The sequence below is a fragment of the Homo sapiens genome, chromosome 9 (genome assembly GCF_000001405.40).
Source record: "Homo sapiens chromosome 9, GRCh38.p14 Primary Assembly".
NCBI classification, from domain to species: domain Eukaryota; kingdom Metazoa; phylum Chordata; class Mammalia; order Primates; family Hominidae; genus Homo; species Homo sapiens.
The window spans coordinates 15,180,190-15,200,192 of NC_000009.12; the positions used below are offsets into that span (position 1 = coordinate 15,180,190).

At 37.0% G+C, this 20,003-nt stretch overlaps 1 protein-coding gene across 14 annotated transcripts in view; it reads right to left on the reverse strand.

The window, feature by feature from the left end:
* Positions 1–20,003, reverse strand: part of TTC39B (tetratricopeptide repeat domain 39B) — a 143,595-nt gene that overhangs the window by 16,568 nt on the left and 107,024 nt on the right. For 12 of the 14 annotated variants that reach the window (XM_047422829.1, NM_001168341.2, NM_001168339.2 and 9 more), the window contains 10 exons: positions 19,672–19,736; positions 12,401–12,506; positions 11,001–11,066; positions 10,365–10,473; positions 9,536–9,603; positions 9,385–9,444; positions 7,782–7,943; positions 6,755–6,846; positions 5,091–5,217; positions 2,118–2,226 (listed from right to left, as the gene is read on the reverse strand). In XM_047422829.1, the coding sequence (XP_047278785.1) occupies positions 2,118–2,226; positions 5,091–5,217; positions 6,755–6,846; positions 7,782–7,943; positions 9,385–9,444; positions 9,536–9,603; positions 10,365–10,473; positions 11,001–11,066; positions 12,401–12,506; positions 19,672–19,736 (964 nt within the window). The other 2 variants (NM_001168340.2, XM_047422831.1) reach the window with 2 other exon arrangements.

The window sequence follows — 20,003 nt, forward strand, 5'->3', positions numbered from 1 at the left end:
CTATGCTGAAATTTTTAGAAGCTAGCTGAAATGGCCCCAAGAGAAAAATCTGAAAATAGATTTAGAAAGTAAAAAGTCATAAAGTCAGTATCACTTTCCCTTTTACATAACTCTCATAATGTTTGCTATATAATTTCATTAAGCAAATTAGTCAAAGTGGAACTTCTGGTTACATGTTGAATTTAGTTAGATTTCAAATGAAACACTATTGGAATTAATACCAAATGCTGACTCCAGGGATGTCACCAAATTCTGTTCTGTCTTCAAAGTTCTATCTTTTGTATCAATGGCCAGCATTTAATAACTATGGCCAGAGTATTGCAGAGTAGATCAGTTGTATCCTCTACCATCTTTTACTTTAGACACACTTGCAAAGCTAGGAGAAGCCAATACACATCCAGTTTCCAATAATGGGGGTGGGGGATGGGGTGGAAGATGATGTAACCTCAGGTTTACAACTTCTCCCCATTTTCCAACTTCTCTCCATTTTCCAACTTCTCTCCATTTTCCAATTATGGACTTTTTCTTCCCTGCTCTGAAGGATAGGAGCTTAATTACTAAACCGTCCTAACAGTTCAAGGTGGGAAGGAGAACAGGAGATAATCTTGCATAAAAGAAGTCCTAGAAGAGGTCATCATAAGTTTCACATGAAATATCTGGCAAAGGTGATCTTCAGAAAATAAACTAATTATTTCACCCAGAGAGAGGACACACAAAGCCAAAACTGTAGGTAAGTATGGCATGTCTGTCTGTCTGTCTGTCTCAGTATCCCCCGCCCTGCTTAAATATCTCTAAAGCCTATCATCTCAGCATGTCATTAAGAGAAAAAGGAATGGGTGGAGGAGAGTGACTTGGTTTTCCAAATTTCCACTGCATTTTACTAGCATAGTCTGATAAAATATATTTCCCCTCGAATTTTGCCCCCAACCAATGGGGGGCTGGGGGTGGTGAAGAGCTTGCTCAAATAGACAGTAGGCTGGGCTCCTGGAGTGCCCATCTTTTTACAGTTAACAAAAATGAGTTAACTGTTAAAATGTTTCCCCACCATTCCTGAATTTCTATGCCCTTTACCATGTTTAGCATCACAGAAGTTTTCATTTTACTTATGTGGTTAGAATATTACAAAAGACCATTTCTCTTGGGGTAATACCTAAGTGACTTGGCATTGAAAAGAAATACAACAAAGGCTATCACTTATGGCATGGTTTACCCCTCTTAAAAATACAGAATCAAAAAATGTCAGGGCAAGGAAACAACTTTGGATAGCATCTGGTCCAACACTCCTCCCACTTCACGAGAAAACAGAGGTGTTACCCAGAGTCTGATGGCAGAGCTGGGACTATAAGCCCAGACTGCCTGATTCTGATACTCCTTTTACCACATCAGCTGCTTCCGGTAAACTGAAATGTGGCCTCTAGCACAACCAAATGTAATGGGTAGAATAAATCGTGATAACATTTCACCTTGAAAACTATTCCCTGTGTCTGCAGAAACACACTAATGGTTAGACAGCAATAAGGAGGCATAGAAAGAGTCACAGCAAACTCAACCCAGAGGGAAGTGCACGTTTCCTTGTGCTGCGCTAAAATTCCAATGCTGGGCTTCCTCTCTTCATCTTTTTTGTCATAGTTTTAAGATACAGTTCACATGCCATACAATTCACCCACTGAGAGTAACCATTCAATGGTTTTTAGGATATTCACAGAGTTGTACAGCCATCACCACAGTCAACTGTAGAACACTGTCATCACCTCCCTCCCCAGAAAGCTATCATAACTCCTAACTTCCATACTCCATCCCTAGGCAACCACTCATCTGCTGTCTGTCTTTATAGATTTCCCTATTCTGAGTATCGTGTAAAGGGAATCATATAATATGTGGTCTTTTATGGCTGGCCTGGCCTTTTTCCCTTAGTAAGCTGTTTCCAAGGTTCATGCAGTTGCAGTGTGTATCATTCCTCCCTGCATTTGACTGCAATCACCCAGACCCCTGCAGCTCAAGCTCTTTGTCCTTGGGATGTACACAAATTAATGTTGGCAGATGTGCACAGGGAAAAGACAGGAGAGCAGTCATGGAGCAGAGACAAAGGCTCCTCGGTGCTTACTGTGTATACTTACTTTGACTTTGTAAAGCTGCCTCAGCTTTTTCAACAGTTACTAACAGATTTTCAGAAAGGTCTTTTCTTTTGCTCACTATTGAAAAACCATTCCAGACATACATCATTTCCTAATGAGGAAAAATGAAAACCATTTGCAGTTATATGAGGTTATTCAATGTCCTTTATGATCCCCAAACAATGTTCATGTGTTTTGCTTCGGTTTCTAGGAACCTCAGGACAATATTTACAGATCATTTTCCTTTGCTTTTGCCTTTTATACTGTGAAGCAATTCAGTATATATATTTTTACCAAAAATTTAAACTCATTCATATAACAAATATTTATTAAATATCTACAAGCATTTAATTCTTTTGGAAGGTAATAGAATACAGATACAGAAATAAATATTTTAAACCGATACTATGAATAATAATTCTGTTTAATGTAAACTTTTGTTGTTACTTTTAAGTAAAGAAAAATATTTTTAAATGTCTGCCAGTTGTTTACATAAAATGTTTCCAAGAATATCACTGGATATAAACACTGGAATATTTCACTGGGCTTAGGATCTTTCATACAATTAGAAACATGTGACGGTCCAGTAATGTAATCCAATATGCAGAAAACGTATTCATTTAAAAGCCATATGGCTGAATGACAGCTCCTAAAATGTAAACTAATGATTTCTCATTACAGATTATATTTAATGGGCTACCAGATGAGAATTTTTTTGGATCAAAAGCAAATGTGCTTTTGCTTGAAAATATTTTTCTAATGTTCCTGATAGTGCAGTTCGTATTTTGAAGGGTATGAAGTAAGCAGGGTAATTAGTATCTTCTTGGAAATAAATTTTAAGATATGATAAAAATATAGCTTGAAAAGCCTCTTAGCAGGAGGTAGTGGAAATGAGGACGACACACTCAAGTAGAATGGCAGCAAAGGTATCTTTATCTTATGGCACCGAAAACTAAGATCATGACACTCTACCTTCAATTTTACATGTAACAATTTATTGCTGCTAATAGAGCAAGAGTTCAATTCAATAACAGAATCTTTTTTAAATTGATGATGATCTTTTAAAAATTCCTTTTATTGATAAAATCTTTTTATCAGAAGAGGGCAAGCTCATATCTGAGACTTTATGAAAAACAGGCTTTTGGTAAAATTCCTAGGTACAAAAAAAAAAAAAAAAATCCCAGTACTAACATTTCAAGCCAATTTCCTGTACATTCTACTTCCATAGACCTGGAGAAAGAAGTGCAGGGAGTTAACCTTCCCTATGGTTCTTAACAGTCAAAGCAGGATACACTTACGTATACACTGGTATCTAAGTATTAAGGCAAAGAAAGATGATAGTCTAGAAAATTTTCTGTAGAGTTCTGTGAGACAGAAAAACCTTCCCAGTGCAAATCACTTAATAAAAATGAATCAGGCATGGAGCTAAGGCTCTAATTGGTTAAGCAACAGAAGGCTCTCATGTGAGCTGGGAGAGGGAGATGTTTGGTTATTTGTGTGATTTACACAGTGTTCTTGTTTTTATTTGTGCTCAGACACGATTACAGAGTGGTCATATTTTTGTCTTGCTCCGTCACAGTCACAGAATGGGCCTGTCTGATGCTGAAGTTCTCTGAGTTTGTGTTAGGTAGGAAACACCTGGACCTAGGTGCTAGGCGCAGGCTAACTCCTGTCTGACCCCTGTCAGGGAGGGGCTGCATTGTTCTTTCTCATAGAATGTATAAAAGGCTCCCATAAGTCACTAAGAAAACAATCAACAACCCAATGAAAAATTAGGAAAGAATATGAACAACAATTTACAAAAGAAAAAATAAAAATGAAGAAACACATGAAAAGATGCTCCACCACATCCACAAGGAAATGCAAATTAAAATGGTAAAATACTATCAGTACTTATTTAAATTGGTAGAGCTTTTTTTGAGGGGAATTTAACAATATCTACCAAAATATTAAATGTATATATTCCCTTGAACCAGGAATTCCATTTTTAAAAAACCTTTCACAGAGAATTATATGCACATGTACAAAAAGAGGATATTCATTGCAGTGTATAATTGTAAAAACTGGAAAAATCTAAATAACTGTCAAAGAGGAATGATGAAATAAACTCTGAATTTAAAAAAAAAAAAAAAACTCAGGAAACCCCAGAGTGGAGGACTGCAGACATCGGTTACACTGAACAGCTTTCCTGTGCTGACTATCTATATAAAAACTAAAGCACCAGAAGAGTCATAGTAACTTGATATATTCAGTATTTTTTGAAGAACACTTCATTAAGAAAATTCAAGTTGAAATTGTGTTTTTCACAGAAGCCTTGCCTAAATGGCATAAAGTTTAAGAATGTGAGCTGGAGCTAGAATACAACAGCCAGCAGCCAGTTATGGCTCTTGAGCACTGGAAATACAGCTAGACCAAACTAAGATGTCCTCTAAGTGTAAAAGACACACTAAATTTCTAAGACTTGGTTCAATATGAAAGAATGTATATATCTCATGGATAAGCTTCTATTAATTACATGTTGAAATGACAAAATTTTGCATATACTGGGTTAAAATATATTCTTGAAATTCATTTCTATTTCCTCTTACTTTTTTAATGTGGCTATTAGAAAAGGTAAAATTACATAATGTGGCTTGCATTAGAATTCAACTCAACTTCAATGGAATCAACTTCTTTCTGTCTAAATTTCTTCACTAAAAAATGGGGCTAAGAGTTAACTATACTCAAAAAGTTATAAGAATAAAATGATACGTTTTTAGTAGCCTTTATCGTAATGCCTGGATCATACTAACTAGTCAAAAACCATTAGCTACAGTTTTTATTTATTAATTATTTATTTAGAAATGTTCAACTTACAACAAAACCTACAATGGTTTTTAAATGAGCTAAACTTCATAACCAAATTTAGATATGCTCCCTGCTGCTGTGAGTAGGTAATTTATTTCTAGTACATGAAAAGAAAATAAAAGCAGATACCAGGGCAGGTAAGATGAGCTTCACAGGTGCAGGTAAGGAGGCGGAGTAACGCCGAGCCTTCCTCACAGCAAACTTCTCAGTAGGGATAGATTTCCCGGCAATTCTCTGCTTCAAGCTGTCCACCTGTCTGTGAAGAACCCCAGCCCAGCCCCAGAGAAAGGTCATGGCAACACATACATTATTTGTACCTGTGGTTTTCACAGTGAACTTCACAGACCACCAGCAGCAGCAGCAGCATCACCTGGGAACCTATTTGAAATGCCAATTTTCAGGCCCTACTCTAGACCTACTGAATCAGCAACTCCAGGGCCGGGGCCGAGCAATCTAGATTTTGATAAGCCCTCCAGGTGATTCTGAGGCACACTCAAGATTGAGAACCACTGACTGACACATATTTCTTTCCAGTCAACTTAGCTAATGTCTTAAATCTATCAAACACAGTCCAGGAAATCTAGGTATACAACTGGCGATTTCTACGAGTAAGCAGGAAAGAGTCCAAAGTATTTACTTACGTTGTGGATACTCAGGGAGAGAGAAGAGGGTACACTGGTATATGGCCTATTCCTATTTGCAAGTATTACACAGATCTATAAAATAATATGGCTCAAAAGACAGCCAACAATTAACGTATAATTTAAGAAAATGTTTCCCAAGCACAGGTTGTTTGGGAAATAATCAGCTTAGGATGTGTACCATGTTTAGAAACTTCCTTTTAAAATTCTACAGAATTCCAATTATGAAATTCATAAGCAGGTAAAAATGACAGTAGGATGGGGAGACTACATGTTCCTGGGAGCACTTTCTTATGCATAATTTTATGGATGCATCAAACAAGTTGCTGAGAAAGAATTCAAGGCAATACTCAATTACATCACTGAAAGAAAAAATAACATGAAATAATATGCCTCCAATATGAGTCAAGCTTATGTTAGGTTAATTCCGGGCAAAATATGGAGCTATGGATTTTAAACTACAGTGTCTCATCATTTTTGTTCATTACCGTCAGTGGAAAAGGCAGTGGAAATGTGAGGTGGGGGTCAGAGGAAGGGGTCAGAAGCATGTCTCAGACAGGAACCCTTGTAGTTTAAAGGTAACAGCATCTTTATGAAGAGACCATTCATTGTTAGAACTCTCATTATCCCAACAACCTAGAAGCTATGACAGAGCAAGACCTCAAAGCTTTCTCCTGAAAATAAAAATGATCACATCTTTCACATAAACTGTTTTGATATGGAGAAAACTTAATCTGCAGTGGAAGAAAGAGAAGGAGATTTAAAAGATTTTAATGTATCTTAATACTCCCTTCCATTAATTGTTGTTTCCGTAAAATAAGGAAATGAACTTTACAGTAAAAAGTGACATTTATCATGCCATGGCTTTTACTAATGTTGATGTTGATGCTACAGTTAATATACATGGTTTTTTTTTGGAGACAGAGTCTCACTCTGTCTGTCACCCAGGCTGCAGTGCAATGGCATTATTTCAGCTCACTTGCAACCTCCACCTCCCAGGCTTAAGCAATCCTCCCACCTAAGCTTCCCAAGTAGCTGGGACTACAAGCACATGCCACCAGGCCCAGCTAATTTTTTGTATTTTCAGTAGAGATGAGATTTTGCCCCTTTATACCCTCAGAGCCTTTGTTATAGGAATAGTGTCTCACATACCTGAATAAAGTTACCACATTCTCATTCGTTGCTACTACATCCTCCTCTGGAAGCATACTCAAAATTGCTGCTTTCAAGAACACATAAGTTGCCTTGAGAAAAAGAAGGAGCTTATTACAGAACATCCCTAGGTAAATGACATTTCTACCTTTCAAATCAGGAATGACCAACAAGTCTTCCAGATATAAAATTAGAGGCATTAAAGAAATCAGAGGAAATGAAATCTTATATTCCCTGTTCAAAATGACAACAACTCTTTTCAATTACCCATAATTTAAACCATTTTCCTATTATACAACTACAGCATTCATAGGTGAGAAAGTGGACAGAATGAACAAGAAAAAATTATCTCATTGCCCTCCAACTTCTCATAAGTGGATCAGAATTAATTTTCATTATCATGAAAAGCCTGGGCATCAGGGCACTGGAAAGTCTACACAAAATTATCAACATGATTAAGATTTCATAACTTTATAAGTACAACTCATTTTCAGAGATAAAACCTCATGTTTAAAATAACTCTTTGTTGTTGTTTGAGACAGGGTCTCACTCTGTCACCAGGCTGGAGTGCAGTGGTGTGATCATAGCTCACTGTAGCCTCGAACTCTTGGACTCAAGCTATCCTCCTGCCTCAGCCTCCCACGTAGAAGGGACTATAGACATGTACCACCATGCCTAGCTAATGTTTTTATTTTTTGCAGAGATAAAATCACACCATGTTGCCCTGGCTAGTATCAAACTCCTGACCTCAAGCCATCTTCCTGCCTTAGCCTCCCAAAGGGCTGGGATTACAGGCATGGGCCATCGCATTTGGCCCTGAAAAGAACAGTAGATGGCTTTTAAAGCATGCAATGCTGAGGACAGTACCTATAAATAGTGGGTACTTAAGGCACATTTCCTCCTTTTGTGGATCTCTAAGTTGAGAAAACACTGTGGTATCATACTACTGAGCAAACAGTCCTAAATGAAAATCATCCTGGCCATGTATTAGCAAACAGATGACATTAATGAAAGTATTGCACTTTACCTTGGACCATTTACTCTCTTTGCAAAGCAGATCTGAATAGTAATATGCCTGCATCCAGTTTTGTTGGAAAACATTAATCCACATTAGCTCCCAGTAGCAGAGATGGTGAAACTGTTTCCATTCTTCTTGAACTGAAATGCATTTTTGAAATACTTCTTGTGCCTGTAAATCAAGTACACAAAGTTGATCGTCCAGATATTAGACAAGGAGATAATAACCTAATGGAAAAATACATAAAACACTTAGTACAAAAAGGACAAAATTATCACTCATTAAACCTCTCAATATGATGATATGTTCTTTTCCTTACAGGCAATGATACAGTTAAGTTCTGCCTCTTTCTTTAATTTTGTGAGAGGGCCTTGACACTTTGTAATGTGGGAGTGGGGAGGTTCCATTCCAAGGAAGATATCAAATGCAGAAATCATTTAAGAAAAGACTGACAATAAAGTTAGAACTTCCATAGGACAAAACACTGTAGGCAGAGTTACAGGCAACAGACAGGAAGAAGATGTCACTATCTACGTAACTGGCAAAAGGTTAACTCTTTTATCATTCATCAATTTAATAAAATTCTGTAAGAAAAAGAAAACTCAACAGGAAACAGGCAAAGATGTAAATAGGCAAATCAGAAAAAAATATATAGATGACAGATATACATGTGGATAAATTTGTAAACTAGGCAATATAAACTTAAAAATTAGATTCTCATTTTTAGCCATCACGTAATGTCCTGAGCCAGCAAAGAGCATTGGAAAAAAATATTTTTATATGTTTACTGGAGTTTACACTGGAACAATCTTAAGTGAGGAGGACAATTTGGCTGGATTTATAAAAATGCAACCACCTTTTGGCCCAGGAATTCTACTAATCATAATCTGTCTTCTATAAATGTACCTGTGCACAGAAATATACATACAATGATGTTCACAACAGTTTGTAGTGGCCAAATGTCTATGGACCACTTTAATAGGTATAGTATATCCATCCCATGAAATGAAACCCAGCCATCAAAAAGAATAGGAGACATTTAGGCATACTGATCTGGAAAGAGATCCAAGACATATTGTAAACAGTGAAAAAAAAATCACAGAAAAATACATTTTGATCCCATTTGTGTGGAAAAAATGGTTTGTGAATGTATATACATAAATGGCTCCTTACTTTTCTACTTCTGACCTCGACGCTTCGTTTTTGAGGGAATTCGTTTTTTGAGGGGTCCTTTGATACGGAGCCCACACGTAGTAGACCTGCATGTCACACAGGGGCTAGATTCCAAAGTCAGTGTGTAATGCAGAAATTGGTAACAGTCACAGTTTCTTGAAAATCCCTGAGCTTGTTATTTGGTATATATTACCCTAAAGTGCTTAATGTACTCTATGTATAAATGTAGACTATATTCAGTAATCCACTGCATAGATTTTATATAATAGAATGTATATACAAGTTAAAAGTTTTGGCTTTTTACTTATATATTTTTTTCTTTATTTTTGTCTAGTCCATATAGCCAAGTTTACTTTTGTTGAATAAGTAGGTCACAGCGACTCATGTAGGAGTCGCCATACAGACAACTCCCCCAAATAATTCCCACCTAATAAATTACCTCTTCAAGATTCCCTTTCAGCAACTCTATTCGGGCATGATAAAACAACACGAGTGAGCCCTGCAGAGCAAGGAAGAAAACACACTGTTCAACAGTCAACACTGGCTGATTAATTATGGTTGAAACATACACTTTGAAATACTGAGCGTACATTTGGAAACTGCTGGAGGAAGGGTGCCAGGAGACGCTCTGCTTCCGCAACATTCACTTCTCCTGTACCTAGAAATTTAACAGGAAAAGACTCAGTCTTCATAAGACATGGGGATATTTATAACCAGCTCTCCAAATTTCATTAACATACAGTAAAGACCTACTCATGGAAAAGATGAAAACTATTATTTCATCATTTTTATATCTGGGGAATAAAATAAAGACCAGTCTCACCTATAACTTTAGTTTAAGAAAGCTCTAGGACACACTAATTCTTAAGAATGCAGGTGGCTGTCTCAGATTCCTAATTGGAATTTCTGGTTTTAACAGCAATATTAACTTATTTAGCCCAAAATTTCATTTTCTGCAAAGAAAAAAATCTCATATATGATAAAATAGATCACCTTAATATAGAAATTTTAGCTGAGAACAGATGAAAATTATTTAATGAAAGAAACTACCCTACTCCTTCTGCTAAATGTCACTATGACAAAGGACACTATTTTCTACCTTTATTCAAAAAAAAAAGTAAACAGATATGAACTACTAGCTCTTGCTGATCTTTCTAAATTTTTACTTACTCAGATTAAAAATAATCAACTTTATGTTTTGTCTTGTTTTGTTTTTTTTAATTTAGAGACAGGATCTCGCTCTGTGGCCCAGGCTGGATCCAGTGCAGTGACGTGATCATAGCTCACCGCAGCCTCAAACTCCTGGGTTCAACTGATCCTCCCACCTCAGCCTCCCAAGTAGTTGGGATTACAGGTGTAACACACCATGTCTGGCCAAGACAATCAATGTTCAATGAAACAATCTAATCCAGATCTTACCAAGTATTAGGGAGATGTAAGTATGAAAAGCTAAGATGGTTAAGCAGCACAGTGCAGACCTCATGCTCCTTCCTGAAGCACCTTCACGTAACTGCAGGAGGCCCAACTCCTATGGGAATTAAATGCATTTTTAGAAAGAGAACAAGACTGGAAAATCATATTCAGAAACTTTTTAAACATTTTTATATATTAGGGGGGTTACAAGTACAGATTTCATATATTACGCTGTGGTGAAGTCTGGGCTTTTAGTGTCCCTATCACCGCAAGAGTGAACATCATACTCAACAGGTAGTTTTTCAACCCTCTCTTCCCCCACCCCTCCCATCTTTGGTCAACTATTAAGAAAGCATAGGAAACCACGTGAGAGTAATAAGATCTAGCAAGAAGCAATATTAGCAACACATAATTTTTCATCCAAGAATTTGGATAACAAGGGTGAACATTTTTAACTTTCATCAGAAAAACTATGTCTAAGTCCTGAAAAACATGATCAAGAATCAAAGGCTTATTTTCTGTCCTACAAACAAATTGCCAATAATTATCAAGGTAGTTATGCAGACATGTTGCATTGCCCTCATGTTCAATAAATACTGTCTTATCTTCCCTGTCAAAATTAACATAAAATTAAATTTGTACCCTATTCCCAGAAAATCCAATAAATTCTAGTAGTCTGATAATCCTTGCTGGTAAAAGGGACAGCATCTGTAAGAAAAAAATATACAGTGTACTTATGTGTTAGTGTTTCTAACTGCAAACAAATCTAAACTAACAACTTACAGTTTTAATGCTTCAATAACATGAGAAATTGGGAACAAGTTTTAACCACCAGATATTTCTGTTACCACATACTGTAACAATCATTTATGAATTAATTTCATTTAGCTAAGACAAGGAACCTTTAAAAAGTTTTTTTTAAGCCTGGTCTTTCCAGGGTTCTCTATAGAATACTGGGACCTTTGATGTGGTGTGATGAAGTGACAAGAAGGTAACCCCTCAAAGCCCACATCCAGGCAAGGTTTCTTAGTTTCCTTTCCCAGAAGCAAAAATCAGTCATAGTCTGTGTGATGTGTAGACACCACCCAGAAGTGGACAGCTGCAGCACTACCACTTCTCTCTGGGATATTCCTGAAGGACAGTGGTGAGGGAATATCCTTCCAGTGGGCAGAACCCTGGGCAGTGCACCTGGTTATGCACTATGCTTGAAAGGAGAAATGGCCAGATGTGCAATTATATGCTGATTCAGGGGATGTAGACAATGGTTTGGTTGGAAGGGCAGGGGCTTAGAAGGATCATGATTGGAAAATTGGTGACAAAGAGGTCTGGGGAAGAAGTACGTGGTCAGATCTTTCTGAATGGGCAGAAAATGTAAAGATATTTGTGTCCCATGTGGATACACACCAAAGGATGACCTTAGCAGAAGAGGATTTTAACAACCAATTGGATAAGATGGTCCATTCTGTGGGTACCAGTCAGCCTCTTTCCCATTTATCACCCCACAGGCTATAAGCAAAGTGGCCATAGTGGCACATTCACTCATGTGTATACTTCTCTTGATCACTTTATTTTCTCACTAATTCCAGTGAACCATCAATAAAATTTAAAAATCTCTTAATCACATATTGGAATTTGACAGATTACTACTCAGACTTCCATCTCCTCAGGAATCATCAAAAATCATTCCTCAAGTTATACTGGTCCCTCACACATTTTCAATTCCAGAGCCGTCATTGTCATTGCAACAATATTTCTGCTGTGGAAATGGAAATGGATTCCACTGTTCCTTGTTACCAAAAACCTTACTAGTCTATTCAGAGTACCACACGCTTCCCTTACATTTTACAATCCAAAGCTACTCTGAGCATGTGTGGAACTTTATAACACACTGGGTCACAATGCCAGAAAACTGATCCCACTCTAGCTGTTTGTCAACCAACCCAAGGAAAGGTTCAGGATGAGGTTCAAATGCAGTGGAGAAGGCACAGAAAACCTTAGGTTCTTCTACAAAAGTTCTGGTTTCTATACAGTGATTTCCTTACCAAATTAAAGGCCCCACTGCCAAGCTTGACACCCCCTTCAAACTCATAGAAGAATTCCTGCTGAAGTTTGTTCTTCTGAATTTCATGCAGGATAGAAAGACATTCTCTGGGTTGAAGAAAAAAAGTGACAGCATAAGTTGACCATGACTCTGAAAATAAATATTAAATCAAATTTTACACTTATGTGCTATAAAATAAATGTCATTAATTAAAATACCATCAAAATTTTAAAGGATGATGCTGTGCTGAGTTTACTCTTAAGGATACTAGGTAATAATCATCAAAGAAAAAGGAGATGCTCATTTTTACAGTGTCTAGCAGGACCAGTGTTTCTGGGCTTAAAGAGAGGGTTCATCCATTGGCAAGCACCAGCCAGGAGCCGCAGGACCACAGGCTGCCATCCCACAGCTTCCGGCAGCATATCACAGCGGACTCCCTGCAAGCGCTCAGCTCCTCCACCACTGCACACACTGCAGCAACCTGAGGAAATGAAATGCTACTGGCAAGAAGATCTGAATTTCAGTGTGACTGCCATCGTCTCAAACAGACCAAATAAATTAGGGCTTGGGACCAGGACAGACTGAAACAAGAAAGCAAAGGCCATCACAATGGCCCCATCTGTCCTCTGCTTTCTTCCTGCTCCAGCCATGAAAATCTTTCCAACTTCTCACTTTACTTTCTATGTATTTCTCTCTTGCCTGTTCACATCATCTTCAAAAGGCAAATATTTAACCAAAGAAATACAAATTAAAACAATGACAAAAATATAAAAATTGATAATACCTGGGAATTGCTTATTAAATTGGCAAATATATTTTTAATAATAAGGAATAATGAGATATCATGAATCACTTGGTGTGATGCAATTATAAAATGTGCAACTACACTTGTGATCCAGTCTAGCCAAATATTTTTAATCTGAATCTAGCAAGCCTATAGACCTAACTTCCAGTTTACAAAAAATGTAAGGGTTTAGAGAGTCAATTCAGATGCCTACAAGCATCCCCTGCTGTCATTTCCCCTGGGTCATTTATTTTTTATTATGGTGCATTTTGCCAAGATAAAATGATGAATGTTTATTTGGTCAGCTCAATCAATTTCTTCTGATTTCTGATTTTATGCCATAGTTAAAAGGCCTTTGAAACTGACATCATGTACCTAATGATATCATTTCTAAGGTATTTTTGCCATAGAGTCATAATCTGAATTTAATCATGAAGAAACATTAGAAAAGTCCATATTGAAAGATGTTTTACTAAATAATTGGCCAGTTTATTCTTTTAAAATGTCAACATCATTAAAGACAAAGACTGAGGAACTATTCCGAATGAAAAGAGACTAAGGAGACATGACAGCTAACCTCGATATCCAGGATCCCGGGTTGGATCCTGAGCCAGAAAAAGGGCATTGATGAGACAACTGGAGAAATGTGAGTAAAGGCCATGGAGTAAATATGAATACTGTATCCATGTCAGTTTCCTCATTTTAATAATTGTACTGTGCTTCTGCAAAATATTAATATTTGTAAATCTGAGTGACGATTTACAATCTTCCATACAAGTGATGGAAATTTTTTGTAATAATTTTCAAATTATTTCAAAGTGAAAAAATAAAAAACAAAAAAGTTTAAAGCCTTTATATTTAAGAATTATAAAAGTACTTTCTTATGTTTCCTGCTAGAATTCTTTTTAAATCTTTTAATATTAAACCTATATGGACTTTTTTCGTCTTAATGATTTTTCTATAAAATGAACAATTTTCCCAAAAACATTTACTAAAGTACCTATCTTTCTTCACTGTTTTGAAAGGGCCTATCTATATAAAGGAATTTAGTATATTTTGAATTCCCAGGTAAGTATGTGCGTGTGTGTGTAAGTCCATGTGTGTGCACACACACACATGCTGTCTCTTTCAAAAAACCCTGTGGTTCATTTCACTGATATGTAAAGGCATACCTTGTTTTACTGCAATTTGTGGATACTGCATTTTTTACAAATTGAAGATTTGTGGCAACTCTGTGTTGAGCAAGTCTATCGATGCCATTTTTCCAACAATATGTGCTCACTTTGTGTTTCAGGGTCACATTTCAGTAATTCTCATAAAATTTCCAAACTTTTTAGTTATTACTGTATCTGTTAATGGTGACCTGTGATGGGAGATCTTAAATGTTACTATTACAGTAATTGTTTCAGGGTGCCCTGAACCACACCCATATAAGAGCGAAAGTTATCAATAAATGTTGTGTGTGTTCTGACTGCTCTACTGATAGGCTGTTCCTCCATCTCTCTCCTCCTCAGGCCTCCCTATTCCCTCAGACAAAACAAAATTGAAATTAGGCCAGTTGGTAACTCTACAGTGGCCTCTCAGTGTTCAAGCGAAAGGAAGATTCGCACCTCTCATTTGAAATCAAAAACTAGAAATAATTAAGCGTAGTGAGGAAGGCATGTCAAAAGCCAAGACAGGCTGGAAGCTAGGCCTCTTGTGCCAAACAGTTAGTCAACTTGTAAGTGCAAAAGAAAAGTTCTTGAAGAAAATTAAAAGTGCTACTTCAGTGAATGCACAAATGATAAGAAAACAAAACAGCCCTGTTGCTGATATGGAGAAAGCTGTAGTGGTCTGGATAGAACAAACCACCCACAACACTCCCTTAAGCCAAAGCCTAATCCAGAACAAGACCCTAACTCTTAAACTCTATAAAGGCTGAGAGAGGTGAGGAAGCTGAAGAAAAAAATGTTGGAAGCTAACAGAGGTTGTTTCATGAATTTAAGGAAAGACACCATCTCTATAACAAAAAAGTGCAGCCGGGCACGGTGGCTCACACCTGTAATCTTAGCACTTTGGGTGGCCAAGGTGGGCGGATCATGAGGTCAGGAGTTTGAGACCAGCCTGGCCAAGCATGGTGAAACCTTGCCTCTACTAAAAATACAAAAATTAGCCAGGCACGGTGGCGCACACCTGTAGCCTCAGCTACTCGGGAGGCTGAGGCAGGAGAATCACTTGAACCTGGGAGACGCAGGTTGCAGTGAGCTGAGATCGTGCCACTGCACTCCAGCCTGGGTGACAAAGGGAGACTCCATCTCCAAAAAAAAAAAAAAAAAAAAAAAGTGCTAAGTGAAGCTGCAAGTGCTTATGTAGAAGCTGTAGCAAGTTATCCAGAATATCTAGCTAAGATCACTGACGAAGGTGGCTGCACTAAACAACAAATTTTCAATGTAGACAAAATGGCCTTCTATTGGAAGAAGATGCTATCTAGAACTTTCATATCTAGAGAGGAGAAGTCAACGCCTGGCTTCAAAACTTCAAAGGTCAGGCTGACTCTTGTTAGGGACTAATGGAACTGGTGACTTTAAATGGAAGCCAATGTTCACTTACCATTCCAAATATCCTAAGGCCCTTAACAATTGTCCTAAATCTACTCTGCCAGTGCTCTATAATTAAAACAACAAAGCCTGGATGATAGCACATCTATTCACAGCATGGTTTACTAAATATTTTCAGCCTACTGTTGAGATCCACTGCTCAGGGAAAAAAACATTTATTTCAAAGTATTATTGCTCACTGAAAATGCACCTAGTCACCTAAGAGTTCTGAAAGAGATGTATGCAAGGATTATATTGTTTTCATGCCTACTAACACAACATCCATTCTGCAGCCCATGGATCAAGAAGTAATTTTGACCTTCAAGTCTTATTATTTAAGAAGTACATTTTATAAGGCTATTGCTGCCATAGTGATTCCTCTAATGGATCCAGGGAAAGGAAACAGAAAACCTTCTGGAAAGGATTCATCATTCTACCTATCATAGAGAACATTCGTGATTCATGGAAGGAAGTCAAAATGTCCACATTAACAGGAGTTTGGAAGAAGTTGATTTCAACCCTCATGGATCATTCTGAGGGGTTCAAGACTTCAGTGGAGAAAGTAACTACAGAGGTGTTAGAAACAGAAAGAGAACTAGAATTAGAAGTGGAGCCTGAAGATGAGACTGACTGCTGCCATCTCATGATGACACTTTAATGGATGAGGAGTTGCCTCTTATGGATGAGCAAGAAAGCAGTTTCTTGAGATGAAATCTATTCCCGGTAAAGATGCCACAAACATTGTTGAAATGACAACAAAGGATTTGGAATATTAAATAAACTTAGCTGATAAAGCAGCAGCAAGATTTGAGAGCATGGATCTAACTCTGAAAGAAGTTCTCCTGTGGGTAAAGTGCCATCAAGTGGTATTGCATGCTATAGAAAAATCTTTTATGAAAGGAAAAGTCAATAGGTATGGCAAACTTCACTGCTGTCCTTTTGTAAAAAATTGCCATAGCCACCCCAACCTTCAGCAACCACCACCCTGAATGTCAGCAGCCATCAACATGGATGCAAGACCTCCACCAACAAAAAGATTATGACTTGCTGAAGGCTGAGATAATTGTTAGCATTTTTTAGCAAAAAAGTGTTTATCAATTAAGGTATGTATATTTTTTAGACATAATGGTATTGGCAGACTTAACAGAATACAGTACAGTATCAACGTAACTTTTATATGCAGCAGGAAACCAAAAAGTTTGTGTGACTCACTTTATTGCAATAGTCACTTTATTGTAGTGGCCTGGAACCCAAAATATCTCTGAGGTATACCTGTATGTCTTTGCCTCTACAGTCCTATTTTAATCCTTTAGTATTTTTAGGTTTTGATGACTAAAACAGCAATTAGCATTGAATTTAACATTCGTTTATACCTTCTAAAAATATTTCACAAAGAAATCTATACAACAGCATGTCAGGTACCCAAGATCTACCACCCCCTTCCAGGATTTTGAATGAAACACAGTTTTGTGAAAGGATTTTCAGTGAAAGTACCTCTTAAAATACTAAATTTTGGTTCTGCTACCAGTAATGGTAGGGTAGCTTATGTCAGATTAACTTTCCCACAAGTAACTATTACAAATTGTGGAAAAATCAAAATATACATTTAAAACATATTTTTACACAGTGGAAAATGAAGGGAAAAAAGTAGGAGTCTCAGGAGAGAAGAAAGTAAGAATGGGGCAGAAAAAAAAAGTTTGAAAAATTATGACCACAAATTTCTCAAAACCACACTTAGGCACATCATAGTCAAACTACTGAGACCCAAAGATACAAACTAGTCAATCTTCAAAAAAGCCAGAAGAAAAGACACATTATATATAGGGGAACAATAATACAAATGAAAAACTGAACAACACAGGCTTTAATACAATAGGACGCCAGTTTTAAAGGGCTGAAAGAAGGAAAAAAAACCCATCGACTCAGAATACTATAGTTAGCAAAAATAAGCTTGAAAAGAAAAAGTAAAAAGTAAATATATTTTAAGATAAATGAAAACAGAATTTGTTGAAAGCTGACACCCTCTAAGAAATGCTAAAGGAAGTTCTTTAGTCTGAAAGTAAACAGGAAATATATTTACCATTTTGAATAAGAATATGAAAAATGGTAAGAATATGGGTAAAGAGAGAAGACTACAACATATAACTGATTAAAGAGAAAGTCTGACACCGCATTGTAGGGTTTAAAATATATGTAAATCTGCTATACATCATAAAAATAGCACAAAGGGCCAGGCGCAGTGGCTCATGCCTGTAATCCCAGCGCTTTGGGAGGCCAAGACGGGTGGATCACGAGGTCAGGAGTTCGAGACCAGCCCGGTCAATATGGTGAAACCCCGTCTTTACTAAAAATACAAAAATTAGCTGGCCGTGGTGGTATGTGCCTGTAGTCCTAGCTGCTCGGGAGGCTGAGTCAGGAGAGTTGCTTGAACCCAGGAGGCAGAGGTTGCAGTGAGCTGAGATCACACCACTGCACTCCAGCCTGGGCAACAAAGCAAGGTCTCGGTCGCAAAAATATATATATATATATATATATATATCATAAAGGGCAAAATGTGGTAAATGAAATTACACTTTTGCAAACTTCTTATAATTTATGTCCAGTGCTACAATATTAACTCTAAGTTGACTGTAATAACTTAAAAACAATATTATAAACACTAGAGCAACCACAAAAAAATTAGACTACAGCTAAGAGAACAACAGTTCTAAAAATGTTATTAAAGCAAAAGAAGACAGGAAAAAAGGGGGAGAGAACAGATGAGGCAAAGAGAAAAAGCAAAATGGTAGTCACAAGTGCAAACATTCAACTGCCCAGCTATGTGAATCTACAAGAAATACAATTTAAATATTTAAAAATACAATTTAAATATGAAAACAAAAATAGGTTTAAAGTAAAAGAATATATCCCATGCAAAGACTAATTATAAAAAGCATGAGTGCCTATATGAATATTAGACATAACAGATTTCAAGACAAGGAATATCACCAAAGTTAAATAGAGACATTTCAAGATGATGAAAAGGTTAATTCATTAGGAAGACAGAAGAATTATAAATACATATTATAAAAGCCTAACAACAGAGCTCCTAAATATATGAGGCAAACACTGACAGAACTAAAGGAAGAAAGGGATGACTCCAGATTCAAACTTAGAGCCTTTAACACTCTCAGTAAATAACAGACAACTGGATAAAAATCAATAAGGATATGAACAACGCTACAGCCACCTCAGCTGAACATTTCCATCTATTGCAGAAAGTTCTACTGGGCAGTGCTGCTCTGGAGTCTGAACCAAAGATATTACTATAATTTTAAATTTATAAACTGTTCTAAGGAGAGAGAAAACTAAAATTATCTAATCAGAAATTATGTCAGTAGCTTTATTTTCAGCTAGCTCTTAAAATTGTATTTAAACTTAAATTCTGTTGTCCTATAACACTGAATACACACTCAACAAAAAATTAAGTTCATTTTTACCAACACCAAATAAAAAATCCTAGTCAGGCCAGGCGCGGTGGCTCACGCGTGTAATCCCAGCACTTTGGGAGGCTGAGGCGGGCGGATCACGAGGTCAGGAGATCGAGACCATCCTGACTAACACAGTGAAACCCCATCTCTACTAAAAATACAAAAAATTAGCCGGGCGTGGTGGCGGGCGCCTGTAGTCCCAGCTACTCGGGAGGATGAGGCAGGAGAATGGCGTGAACCTGAGAGGCGGAGCTTGCAGTGAGCCGAGATTGCGCCACTGCACTCCAACCTGGGTGACAGAGTGAGACTCCGTCTCAAAAAAAAAAAAAAAAAAAAAAAAAAAAAAAAAATCCTAGTCAAACTTAATTTAGGAGAACTGTGAAGAACAAAGGAGTACACAGCACAAAATTATTTACAAACCACATCTTACTTTTTAACTTACTTATATATTTGGTAACTTGTTCTAATTTTGAGTCCACCTTTGATGAAGTTGATCATATTTTCATCCTGAAAATAATTCAGTTAAAAAATTAGATTATTTAGCAAAAAATTTTAAATTGTCCCCACAGTTGTGTGTTTGTGTGATTAGAAAAACAAAAACAAACAAACAAAAAAAAGTATTTTGAGGACATAATTTTGAAATTAACACATACTCTTGCTTTACATTTAAAAGTTTTTGGGGTAATTTTTCTTCCACATTAGAGGACAACAAAAAGAAAATACTTGTAAAATCCTTCGATTATTTTATATTACTAAGGAGGTAATCCTCACCAA